This window comes from Homo sapiens, chromosome 10, assembly GCF_000001405.40.
Source record: "Homo sapiens chromosome 10, GRCh38.p14 Primary Assembly".
Classification (NCBI taxonomy): Eukaryota; Metazoa; Chordata; class Mammalia; order Primates; family Hominidae; genus Homo; species Homo sapiens.
The window spans coordinates 24271406-24284386 of NC_000010.11; the positions used below are offsets into that span (position 1 = coordinate 24271406).

The 12981-nt window shown below is 41.3% G+C and overlaps 1 protein-coding gene and 1 non-coding gene across 31 annotated transcripts in view; both read left to right on the top strand.

The window, feature by feature from the left end:
• KIAA1217 overlaps window positions 1–12981 on the top strand; it is an 853117-nt gene that overhangs the window by 576679 nt on the left and 263457 nt on the right. The gene's annotated exons all lie outside the window — the stretch shown is intronic.
• MIR603 (microRNA 603) lies at window positions 4280–4376 on the top strand. Its single transcript, NR_030334.1, has one exon. It is a non-coding gene; the product is annotated as a microRNA 603 (primary transcript).

The window sequence follows — 12981 nt, forward strand, 5'->3', positions numbered from 1 at the left end:
TCTGACTATAACCAATTTGTTAGTTTATACTTACTCTTTACTAAAGGAAAGAAGAGTAGGAATAGGATGGTGCGGTGGCTCACACCTGTAATTCTAGCACTTTGGGAGGCCGAGGTGGGTAGATCACATGAACCCAGGAGTTCAAGACCAGCGTGGGCAACGTGGCAAAACCCCATCTCTGCAAAAAATTATAATAATTAGCCAGGCGTGGTGGCATGTACTTGTAGTCCCAGGTACTGGAGAGGCTGAGGTGGAAGGATCACCTGAGCCTGGGGAGGTTGAGGCTGCAGTGTGTCGAGATTGTGCCACTGCACTTCAGCCTGGGTGACAGAGTGAGACCCTGTCTTAAAAAAAAAAAAGAGTGAGAATAATGAAACTGTGCACACGCAGGCCTTTTAATAAACTTTCCCCCTGTACGCAGCCCATTCTAGCTATATATATTTCTTGGTCCCAGCCTCTTCAAATAAAAATTGTTTTATTCAAAAGTATGACCTAGCCTTATACAAGATAAGATAGCCCACTTAAAAGTGGCATAAAAGGCCACTTTTATGCATCTCCATTTTAGGTTGGTTACAAGAGGCACAGAGAGACCAAAGCCCATGGGATGCTCGTGAGAGTAGGAAATTGGGTGGGAAGGGTGGACTCGGGAGACAACCTGACATCTCTCTACTTGAAGCCTAGCAATAAGGTTCAAAGGTTCCTCATGCCTTGTTTTCCCTTCTCTCTACATGATTAAGATCCCATTCCTGTAACAGATAGCAATGTGTTTATGCAGTAAAATTAGATAAGGGAGATTACTAGGGAAGTCACTACTCAGTTAGGGATGTCAGTGGTGCTCACTGCAGGTCCAGGTTAGTAATAAGAACTCTGGACTAGTAGCTAGGAGTGCTTGAATCTAGATTAGTTCTACTTTCTAACTCGATGTGTGACATTTTTTCCACTTAATTTTTTTGGCCTTGGTTATCTTATTGGAAAAAATATTCAAGTTGCACAAATAACTAAATGATGCCTGAGTTTTCATTCAGTTCTAAAACTTCTCAACTGAGCAATCTGTTGTTGAAAGGAGAGTACGAGTTCTAAAAGCTACTCTAGGGAGCTCTGCATTCACCAAGCCGCTCCATCATTGTTGGGAAGAAAATACTAAGGTTGACTCATTGTCAAAGCCACATTCTACTCAAACTCAATGTACATAACTCGAATTCTAGCCACATTCCAGCCAAATTGAGATAGCTGTTCAAATAGTCATGGATTTATTTAATAACTGACTTCGAAATTCTTTACTTCTTTCAAGGTGGCATTAACAAGTATTTCGGAATTTCAACAGAGATCGGTTTTCACGTGCTCTTCAATGATCCCTGTGAAATAAATCATATTCAAGGGTTTTTTTCCCCTTATGAGTTATTCGCCTGAAGGAAGAATTCTTCATTTCTTTTTCTTTTAAATGCATGTTGGAATAAAGTCTTCTTTGAAAAGTCTTAATGAAAAGAGCAAACGTGGAATAGCATCCACCCCAGTTCTTTCTCTGGTCCTTGCACTCTGAGAATGAAGTCTTAGACAGCAGAATGTCAGGGGACTCTCATTGCGTAAAAGTCTGTGCCCTTCTGCGCCTTGGACAGTTATGGACAGAAGCCTTTAAGAAGAAGAAAATTAAAACTAGTTAATTTTTTAGTTAATTTTAGCAACACTACATATATGAGAGAGAGAAAAGATGGCATTTTCTGAATGAATGAGATGCCTCTGCATTTTGCCCAACTCATTGGAGACTCAGGATAGAGAAAAGGGAGAAATTATGTTTAGAGGCTGATAAATTTCCCTATGGTTACTATCAAGAGATCAGACTCTTATTAACATTTGCAAAGTGTGAGCAGAGAAGAGCATTTGAACAATAAGCATAGATTAAGTACTCCTCTTTCCTTCATTCCCTTTTCTCTAGTCATATTCTCAGACAGTCCAGGCTAAGTATTAATGATCTTCTTTGAAGTTAAACATACCCTTGCTACTTTCATTACATTATTATTTTTATGTTCTTCCTTTTGGAGTACTCAAGGTAAATGACATGGCAGAATCTGTCCCAGTCCAGTGAGGGTGTCACATAAGAGGCCCTTGGCTTACCTCTATGCATAACTGGCCCACGTCACATCTTTAATTAGAAGTCCAAGTTATTGGCTGGACGCCATGGCTCATGCCTGTAATCCAAGCACTTTGGGAGGCCAAGGTGGGTGGATCACCTGAGGTCAGGAGTTCGAGACCAGCCTGGCCAACATAGTGAAACCCTGTCTCTACTAAAAATGCAAATATCAGCCGGGTGTGGTGGCACATGCCTGTAATCACAGCTACTCGGGAGGCTTGAGGCTGGAGAATCGCCTGAGCACACGAGATGGAGGTTGCAGTGAGCCGAGATCGTGCCACTGTGTTCTAGCCTGGGCGACAGAACAAGACTCTGTCTCAAAAAAAAAAAAAAAGTCCAAGTTACTGTTGCAGGGATTGGGACATCTTGCCTTTCTCAAGTTGAGCAATATTCCCAAATATAAAAATGTAGGATCTTAGTCCAATCAGAGCAGATATTTGGTGTAGGGCATTTTCTAATGTAGTACCAATAAATTAGACGCATACCTCAACCAAAAAACAGCCCATATCCAGTAAGTAATAAGGCAATGATTTACATTTCACATATTACCAGAGTAATGACTAATAGCATACATGTATAAACTGAAAAGTGACTGATGCTTATTTTCAGATGGGTCCAAATTTATTGGATAATTATGGAGAATAATGTATGTTTTCTGAGAGTTGGTAGTAAGAAAATATTGCCATTGCTGGCCAGGCACAATGGCTCACACCTATAATCCCAGCATTTTGGGAGACTTGAGGTCAGGAGTTCATGACCAGCCACCTCAGCCTCCCAAGTAACTAGAACTACTGGTGCATGCCACCAAGTCCAGCTAATTTTTTTTTTTTTTTGAGACGGAATATTGCTCTGTCACCCAGATTGGCTGTGTTCTCCATTCTAAGTCCAGTGGTTAGAAATTGTCAAGTTCTCACATCTGCAAAAAAAGTAAAAAAGATGAACCTGCTACATCTAAATATACTTTGTTGTCTTCCTACAAGTCCTATTTTACATACTTATGGCATTTTTACTGCAGTTTGAAAATACAGTCAATTCTTGTTATTCACAGTATTGATGTTCTATAAACTTGCCCTAAATACTGCATTAGTGAGTCCTGAATTTATTAGTTAATACTGAATTTCCTAGGGGAAATACAGGGTTAGGTTCCTGTGAGTCTTTGGTTACCTTTTTATCAACCAATCAACAAAAATCCTTATTTTACCTGTGTTTTTGTTTGAAGACACCTTTTAAAATATATATTATTGATTCATTAGCATTGAACTAAGCTTATCTAATGCACTTATTTTTTGTGTAAGGTGTATCACAGCCTTCTTGAGCCTAGGAATGCCAAATAGTACTTCCACACCATACTTAAGGGCCATTTCATTTTATTTCTTATTTTTAAAATTTATTCTCTTTTCTTATTTAAAGAAAAAATTTGTAGATGCCGGGTCTCGCCCTCTTGACCAGGCTGGAGTGCAGTGACACAATCACAACTCACTGGAGCCTCAAACTCCTGGGCTCAAGTGATCTTCCCACCTCAGCCTCCCAAATATCTGGGACTACAGGCACACGCCACCATGCCCAGCTAATTTTTTAATTTTATTTTTTTGTAGAGGCAGGGTCTGGCTATGTTTTTGAGGTCTTAATTCCCCAATGAACATGACTAGTATATTCCAGGCTGGTCTTGAACTCCTGTCACAAAGCAATTCTCTTGCCTTAGCCTCCCAAAGTGCTGGGATTTCAGGCATGAGCCACTGCACCTGGCTTGGACCATTTTAAATAGTGAAGTCACTCACACACACATACACGCATGCAGGTGCACACACAGACACAAAAAGACACAAAAATGCGAAACTTGTGGCACTAAAAAGACTGTGGAAAGGGTGCTTCCTTACAGTATGAAAACTGAAACAAAAAAGCAGAGTGTTGTTTAGTTAGACGCCACCTGGGAACGTGCTTGTTGGGAAACTCCAGTTGTCCACTGTCCTGCCATGTCTATGATGACTGCAAACATTTGGGAGTATTAATTTGAGGGTCACAAACAGATTTTAGGTGATGGGCATATTTACAAATACAGAATCTGCTAGTAATGAGGACTGACTGTATAATGCTTTAGTAGTCTCAAGTATGTTTTTTTTCTCATTAAGCCTTTGCTTAAGATGCAGGCAAGATTGATGCTGTTGGTTTGGTGCAAAAGTAATTGCAGTGCTTCCCATTTAAAAGTAATGGCACACACTGCAATTACTTTTGCTCCAACTTAATACTTGGCTTTATTGACTTTTAGCATCAGTGCAGTTTGGTTAATGATAAAATTTTCCAAAGCAGTGTCTCATCTGCAGGAGCAAACTATAGCAAGGGCCCTGGCCATCAGTTCTCCCTTCTGGTCCTGATATTCCTTTTTAAACTGTCTTTCCATACCCCTCCCTCCAGTGGGCTTGGCGATGTTGCATTAAATAGCAAAGAGAAGGAAACTCCTCCCCAGTCCTCACTGACCATTTCTTTTTCCACTCAGTCCTGCTCAGAATGTAGAAGAGAAGTTGAATTTAATTCATAAATTCAGCAGCTTGAGGACTGTCAGTTTTGTCGTTATTTAGTGAAATAGTAATTGAATTGGGCTACAAGGTCATTGGAATCTGCTGTTTCATTTCATATCATTTTACGTGTTATTATTCTAATAAGAATACAAATGGAGTTTGATGCCATTTGCTGATCATCCATCTTATTGATGCCATTGAACAGAACGCAGAAACACAAAGGGATTTATAAGGCATTTCAGTTTTGATGTCCTTTGAAAAATGAAAGTCTTTTCAGAAATGCAAAAGACAAAATGACTTAGAATTCCATCTCGTTCTGCCCGGTTTGAGGGCATCCCTTCCTATTCCTTAGATAGCTGTTAATAAGAGTCCTGAGGAAAACTGGGTTTGAATTTAAAAACAAAAAATTTTTAAGAGACAGGGTCTCGCTTTGTCACCCAGGCTGGAGTGCAGTGGCACAATCATAGCCCCTGTAACCTTGAAGTCCTGGACTCAAGTGATGCTCCCACCTCAGCCTCCCTAGTAGCTGGAACTACTGGCACATGCCATCAAGTCCAGCTTTTTTTTTTTTTTTTTCTGAGATGGAATCTCACTTTGTCACCGAGGCCGTAGTGCAGTGGCGCGATCTCGGCTCACAGCAACCTCTGTCTCTCAAGTTCAAGTGATTGTCCTGCCTCAGCCTCCTGAGTAGCTGGGACTACAAGCATGTGCTACTACGCCCAGCTAATTTTTGTATTTTTAGTAGAGACAGGGTTTCACCATATTGGCCAGGCTGGTCTGGAACTCCTGACCTTGTGATCCGTCCGCCTCAGCCTCTCAAAGTGCTGGGATTACAGGCATGAGCCACCACACCCAGCCAAGTCCAGCTAATTAAAAAAAAAATAAAAATCGTAGAGATGGGGTCTCCCCGTGTTGCCCAAGCTGGTGTCAAATTCCTGACCTCAAGCAATCCTCCCACCTCGGCCTCCCAAAGCTCTATGATTATAGATGTGAGCTGCCATGCCTGGCCTTAAATTTTTCAAAAGCTTTTAAACCAATCTTAAAATGTTTTATCCTCTTAGAATCATGTCCCTAGTTTTATAGCTTGGAAATTCTTGCTCTTTTCAAATTGCTCTTTAACTCTGGCCTGATTGGAAGGTGGCAGCTTTTCAAATACAGGTCATGGCAGCGCTCAACCTGGATTCCTCAGTTGCAGAAGACTGCTTTTGCTAGACTGCTGAATTTACTTCCAACTTTTCAGATGTTTCTGAGGTTGACCCTGGTGTGGTTCCCACTCAAAGTGGAGCAAGCAGGTGGGTGGCAGGTCTCTTCTTAGCGGCTTCCTAGAGGGAAGCCTCGTGAGTGGGATGGGGGACAGGTTGCCCTGGGGGAGCCCAGGAATGGGGAGACAAGGCCACCTGCTATGCAGATGATATAGTTTGGCTGTGTACCCACCCACTTCTCATCTTGAATTGTAGTTCCCATAATCCCCACATGTTGTGGGAGGAACCTGGTGGGAGGTAATTGAATCATGGGGGCGGTTTTCCCCATGCTATTTTCATAATAGTGAGTGAGTTCTCATGAAAGCTGATGGTTTTATAAGGGGCTTTCCCTTTCACTGGGCACTCATTCTTCTCCTTGCTGCTGCCATGTGAAGAAGGACGTGTTTGCTTCCCCTTCAACCATGATTGTAAGTTTCCTGAGGCCTCCCCAGCCCTGCAGAACTGTGAGTCAATTAAACCTCTTTCCTTTATAAATTACCCAATCTCAGGTTTGTCCTAATCGCAGCATGAGAATGGCCTAATACAGTAGGTTTTCCTGAGTCCTCTCTCTGACTCACCCTCTGACGGGCAAAAGACAGTGGCAGCACTGCCAGCAATCAGCTGGGAACTTCTCCCCTGTGATAGAAAGCAGTGCTTGCTGGCTTCCCTTTGTGATGCTTTTGGACAGCAGCTCTATGGACCTATGCCTTTTGTCCTTTGAGGACGGACGCACAGTCTGTGCAGCTCGAGGACGCCGTCATGGGTGAGATGCTGTGGAGTGTGATGACGCCACCTCTTAGGCTGTGTGTGAAAGTAGCGAGGAGAGGCAGGGTCTGCATGAGCCACTTTGGAGCAGGCCAAAACACTGTGGAGAAGCACATTACAGCCACAGTGGCGGTGTAAAGGGTCAGACTGACCACTGGCTTCTGGAAAGTCTTCATTTCTGAAAGACTGTCAGGTAGAAGATGGATGAGAGTTACTCTGTGAGGCCGGAAACCTAGAACTCAGACCATTGTGTGCAGACCAGGGAGAGGCAGTGTTTGGAGTGAGATAAGCAGGAATTTTGAAATTACACAGACCCGGTTTTGAATTTACTCATGAGCTGTGTGGCTTAGAGAAAGCTGTTTAATCCCACTGACCTTCATCTGTGAAGTGTCCAAAAATAATACAGAGCTTGCAGAGTTGTGTGGATAAGGGATAATCTATCGAAAGCATGTGGCAAGTGGCAGACACAATGTGGGCACTAGGCAAGTGGCAAGTCCCTTGTATTGAGTCTTATTTGTCTATTCAGTGAATATTTGGATACCAACTCTGCTGTTCTGGGCATGATGTTAGCCACTGGGGAGACAGAAGGAATGAAAGAGATGAGTAACCTAATGTGTGCTGTCTAGTGGGGACTGCAAATAAAGTGGGTGTTACCACTAGCGTGCTCTACAGTGTTATGCTAGAGAGAAATTTACTTCCTTTGGCCACTCACTTCCTTGTTTTTAAATAAGAACTGAGTTAAAGTTGCTAACTGTGAAGACTGAGTAATTTGAATCTGCTGTTGGTGTACTCAGATTACTTTTTTTTTTTTTTTTCTTGGAGACAGAGTCTCACTCTGTTGCTCAGGCTGGAGTGCAGCGGCCCAATCTCAGCTCACTGCAACCTCTGCCTCCCAGGCTCAAGCGATTCTCATGCCTCAGCCTCCTGAGTAGCTGGGATTACAGTCACGGGCCACCACTAATTTTTGTATTTATAGTAGAGACAGGGTTTGCCAGGCTGGTCTTGAACTCCCAACCTCAGGTGATCCGCACATCTTGGCCTCCCAAAGTACTGGGATTGCAGGCATAAGCCACCACACCCAGCTCAGATTACTGTTTACTCAAATTAATGGGGATGATTGAGGATGAAACAGTGCAGGGATTCCCCATTGTTTTGTTTTCTTCTTTGCATTTCTAGTGTCTGTTTTTTTTTTTGTTGGTGGTGGTGGTGTTTTTGTTTGTTTGTTTTTTTTTTTAAAAAAAGATCTGCAGAGGCTATTGTGTCCTTTGCATAACCCAAGTCCAGTAGCATCCTTGACTTCAAAGTCTGTTGGCATTGATGGCATCTGACTCAGTCATAACTATCTTTAATACATCATTATAAAATCTACAATATTGCTCAAGTGAAGATATTATCATGTAACTGGGAGATATTACTAATTAATGAGTATGTGGAAAATTTTCCCTAGAAAATGAAGTGTTTGTGAAAGGGACTGAAGGATTTTTGCAGAAGAGTCTATGAGAAAGTTATTATAAACCAAAGGGTTATGAATTCTGCATATGAAACATAAATAGCTATTAAATATTTTATTTCAATCAAAAAGTGTAATGAAATTAGAGCTTCTCATTATGAATCTGGGATTTATATGGAAACTTATAAAACTAAAAGGTAATACATTCAAAATAGAAGCACAGATTTACCAATTAACTGGAGTTAAAACTTTTTACTTCTCTTTACAGTGACAGGAGAAAAATACATCCTAAATATGTTATTATGGTAAAAAAATAATATTGCTAGTGGACAGAAAAAATAGTCGTTAAGAGGGTACAAGTTCATCTGATAGTTGCAACTAACATTCTAAGGGGGTTCTCTAAGTTTAGTGTTTGATTTTCTTAAAAACCGATTTGAAAATTCATGGTGCATGGAACTCAGTGAAGGCTCCTCTGTTGAAGAAATAACTCTCTGAAATAAAATGAACATATAGGCCCTTTATCTTTTTTAATGGGATGGCGTGCTTAGGCCCATGAGGATCGGTTTGGTAGAGGTTGATGTTCTTCCTTTATCCTTAATCATTGATGCCTCTCTAGAAAAGAAATGCTCATGTCTTTTAGGTGGAACCATAGGATATTGGTGATTACGTATGTCAAAAACAGTCAAATATCTGCAGTTTCATGTCATTCATGCTAATGAATTCTAAATTGGATGAAGACCTTGACTCACCAGATTTGGCAAGGAATAGGGGTCCGTATTTTAAGGACAAAAGGCTAGAAGCCTGTTTGCAAAACTCTAACAAACATTTTTGCTTTTCTAAGATTTCTGAAATAATCTGGAGTACACACAGGTGAATAATGTAAGTGAAGGAAAGTGAAAGGGTGCTATAAAGTAAAATGAAAAGATGCTGAATTTCAGCACTAATTTGAATATACCTAGATTCTAGATTGAAAATGACCTTTTCCGCACAGGTAAATAAAATGTTTCCATAAAGGAATAAACCTGGCCGGGCGTGGTGACTCATGCCTGTAATCCCAGCACTTTGGGAGGCGGAGGCGGGTGGATTGCGAGGTCAGGAGATCGAGACCATCCTGGCTAACATGGTGAAACCCCATCTCTACTAAAAAACAAAAAATTAGCCAAGCATGGTCACAGGCGCCTGTAGTCCCAGCTACTCAGGAGGCTGAAGCAGGAGAATGCAGTGAACCTGGGAGGCGGAGCTTGCAGTGAGCAGAGATTGCGCCACTGCACTCCAGCCTGGGCAACAGAGCGAGACTCCGTCTCAAAAAAAAAAAAAAAAAGAATAAACCTAATTATACTTCTTCAACTTAAGATGGACATTTCTCTACCTAAGAATATAAAATTATCAAATACTCTAGAGAAAGTTGGGTTTATATTCAAATAGCACAATATCAACACATGTGAAGGTCAGTATTCCATAGATGGGGATGTTGATAGCTAATTTCAAATCAGTGTGTTTTGTTTATTAAAGCTAGACTGCTGATAGGCAATATTTGCTAGAAAATAATGTAATTTTTAAAACTTTGATGTGTATTTAAAATAAAGTTTTCATTTTAGAACAGTTTGAGATTTACAGAAAAATTGTGAAGATAGCACAGAGCTCCCACATACAATGTATGCAGTCTACTCTAGTATTAGCATCTTACATCAATATGGTACATTTGTTATGATTAATGAACCAATATTAACACAGTTATTATCTAAAGTTCATATTCATTTTTTTGCCATCGTTTTTACCTATGTGTGATGTAAGTAATCATTCCATTTCAGTATACATGAATTACAAGATCAGAATTGTTAACCCATGCCCTGTGGGAAAGAACTTTATCAATTAGGGTACAGTGTGTTTGGACAGTTTCTTTTGTCTTTTGTCTTACAGAAATAGTTTGTTTCCAACATTAATTAGGTCAGCATCTTCTCCCCATCACCTTTCCACATACACTTACCCTCAGTGAGACTGTTTCATATATTTATGATACAGTTAGATTGCTTGGTAAGATCTGTTCCTTAGGCTCTTGGCTATGACAGTTTCTCAGACTCTCCTTGTTTTTAATGACCTTGACAATTTGGAGGAGTACTGGTGAGTTATTTTGTAGAATCTCCTTCAATTGAGACTTGTCTGATGATTTTATCATGAGTAGACTAGGGTTAATATGTTTTTGGAAGGAAGATCACAGAAATGAAAAGCCATTCTCATTATATCATTATATCATATCAAGAGTAACAATAATCGGCCGGGCTCGGTGGCTCACGCCTGTAATCCCAGCACTTTGGGAGACCAAGACAGGCAGATCATGAGGTCAGATCGAGACCAGCATGGCTAACACGGTGAAATCCCATCTCTACTAAAAATACAAAAAATTAGCCAGGTGTGGTGGCGGGTGCCTGTAGTCCCAGCTACTCAGGAGGCTGAGGCAGGAGAATGGTGTGAACCCAGGAGGCGGAGCTTGCAGTGAGCGGAGATCACACCACTGCACTCCAGCCTGGGTGACAGAGCGAGACTCCATCTCAACAACAACAAAAAAAGTACCAATAATCTGGCCAGGCATGGTGGCTTATGCCTATAATCCCAGTACTTTGGGAGGCTAAGGCAGGAGGAGCTCTTGAAGCCAAGGGTTCAAGACCAGCCTGGGCAACATAGAGACCTCACCTCTACAAAATTTTTTTTTCAAAAAAGAATACTAATAATCTATATGATTTATTGCTATAAATATTAGCTTTCATCACGAGGCTGAGGAGTCTTTTTCAGGTTTCTCCACTGTAAGGTCACACACACCCCCACCTCTTTTCTATGTTGTCTTCTTTGGAAAGAAGTCACTACGTGTTATCCACACTTGAGGAGTGTGCTATGTTCCCCCTCCTTCAGGGTGGAGAATCTGCATAAATTATTTGGAATTCTCTGCATAAGAAATTTGTGTTTATTTATCCCCCTGTGTTTATTTATTCAATCATTCGTTTATAACAGTATAGACTCATGGATATTTATTTTCACTTTGGGTTTGAATCCAGTATTACTTGATTGTTGCTGACATTCATCCAGCTTTGGCCACTGGGAGCCCTTTCAGTTGACCCCTGTGTTCCTTTGATATACCCTCTTCCCCTCTTCTTTGTGGTTTGTGGGTTCTTTGTTTTTTGTTGTTGTTTTGTGGCTCTTCTTTATGGCACTGAAAGATACTCCAGGCTCATCTTCTACATTTCCTGCCACAATCCTAAAATCAACCATCTCTCTAAGGAGTTCTAAACCAAGATGTGTTCTTTGCTACTGAGGTGTTGCTTCTTTTTTTTTTTTTTTTTTTTTTTTTTTCAGACGGAGTTTCATTCTTGTTGCCCAGGCTGGAGTGCAATGGCGCAATCTCGGCTCACTGCAACCTCCGCCTTCCAGGTTCAAGCAATTCTCCTGCCTTAGCCTCCCGAGTAACTGGGATTACAGACGTGTTCCATGATGCCTGGATAATTTTGTATTTTTAGTAGAGACGGGGTTTCTCCATGTTGGTCTGGCTGGTCTTGAACTCCCAACCTCAGGTGATCCACCCACCTCGTCCTCCCAAAGTGCTGGGATTACAGGCATGAGCCACCGCAACCAGCCTGAGGTGTTGCTACTTTTAGGGCCTTTGACTGATAGAGCAAAGAAATATATGTGTGGATACTAAACCATGCATAGACACATATCTATATTTCCTTCTTTCTTTTGCCTTTCCCAGAATGTCATATAATTAGAATTGTACAATATGTAGCCTTTTCAGAGTGGCTTCTTCCACTTGGCAATATGCATTTAAGATTCGTCCATGTCTTTTTGTTGCTTAAGAACTTTTCATTGCTTCATAAGAAACTGACAAACTGGCTGGGATGGTGGCTTACGCCTGTAATCCCAGCACTTTGGGAGGCCAAGGTGAGCAGATCACTTGAGGTCAGGAGTTCAGGAACAGCCTGGTCAACATGGCAAAATCCCATGTCTACTAAAAATTCAAAAATTAGCCAGAAGTGGTGGTGTATGCCTGTAGTCCCAGCTACTCAGGAGGCCGAGCATGAGAATCACTTGAACACAGGAGGTGGAGGTTGCAGTGAGCCAATGTTGTGCCACCGCACTTCAGCCTGAGGAACAAAGCGACACTCCATCTCAAAAAAATAATTAAAAAAAGAAAAGAAACTGATGAACTGTCCTCTAAATTTGCTGTACCATTTTTGCATTTCCATTATCAATGAATGAGAGTTCCTGTTGCTCTGCATCCTGGTCAGCATTTGATATTATCATTTTCTGGATTTTAGTCATTATAGTAGTGTGTAGTAGTATCACATTGTTGTTTTAATTTGCAATTCCTTAATAACAAATGATATTGAGCATCTCTTCTTTTCTTTTCCTTTATTTTTTTTTTATGTTTTTGAGACGGAGTCTCACTCTGTCACCCAGGCTGGAGTGCATTGGTGCGATCTCAGCTCACTGCAGCCTCCACCTCCTGGGTTCAAGCAATTCTCCTGCCTCAGCCTCCCGAGTAGCAGGAACTATAGGCACAGGTGACCACACCTGGCTAATTTTTGTATTTTCAATAGAGACAGGGTTTCAGCATGTTGGCCAGGCTGGTCTCCATCTCCTGACTTCGAGATCCACCCACTTTGGCCTCCTAAAGTGCTGGGATTATAGGTGTGAGCTACCGTACCCAGCTGAGCATCTTTTCTTTTTTAAAAGAAATTTTAATTTTAGATTCAGGGGGTACATGTGCAGATTTGTTACAAGGGTATACTGTATGATGCTGAGGTTTGGGCTTCTATAAAACCTGTCACCCAGATAGTGAACACAGCACTCAATAGGAAGTTTTTCAGTCTTTGTTCCTCTCCCTCCCAC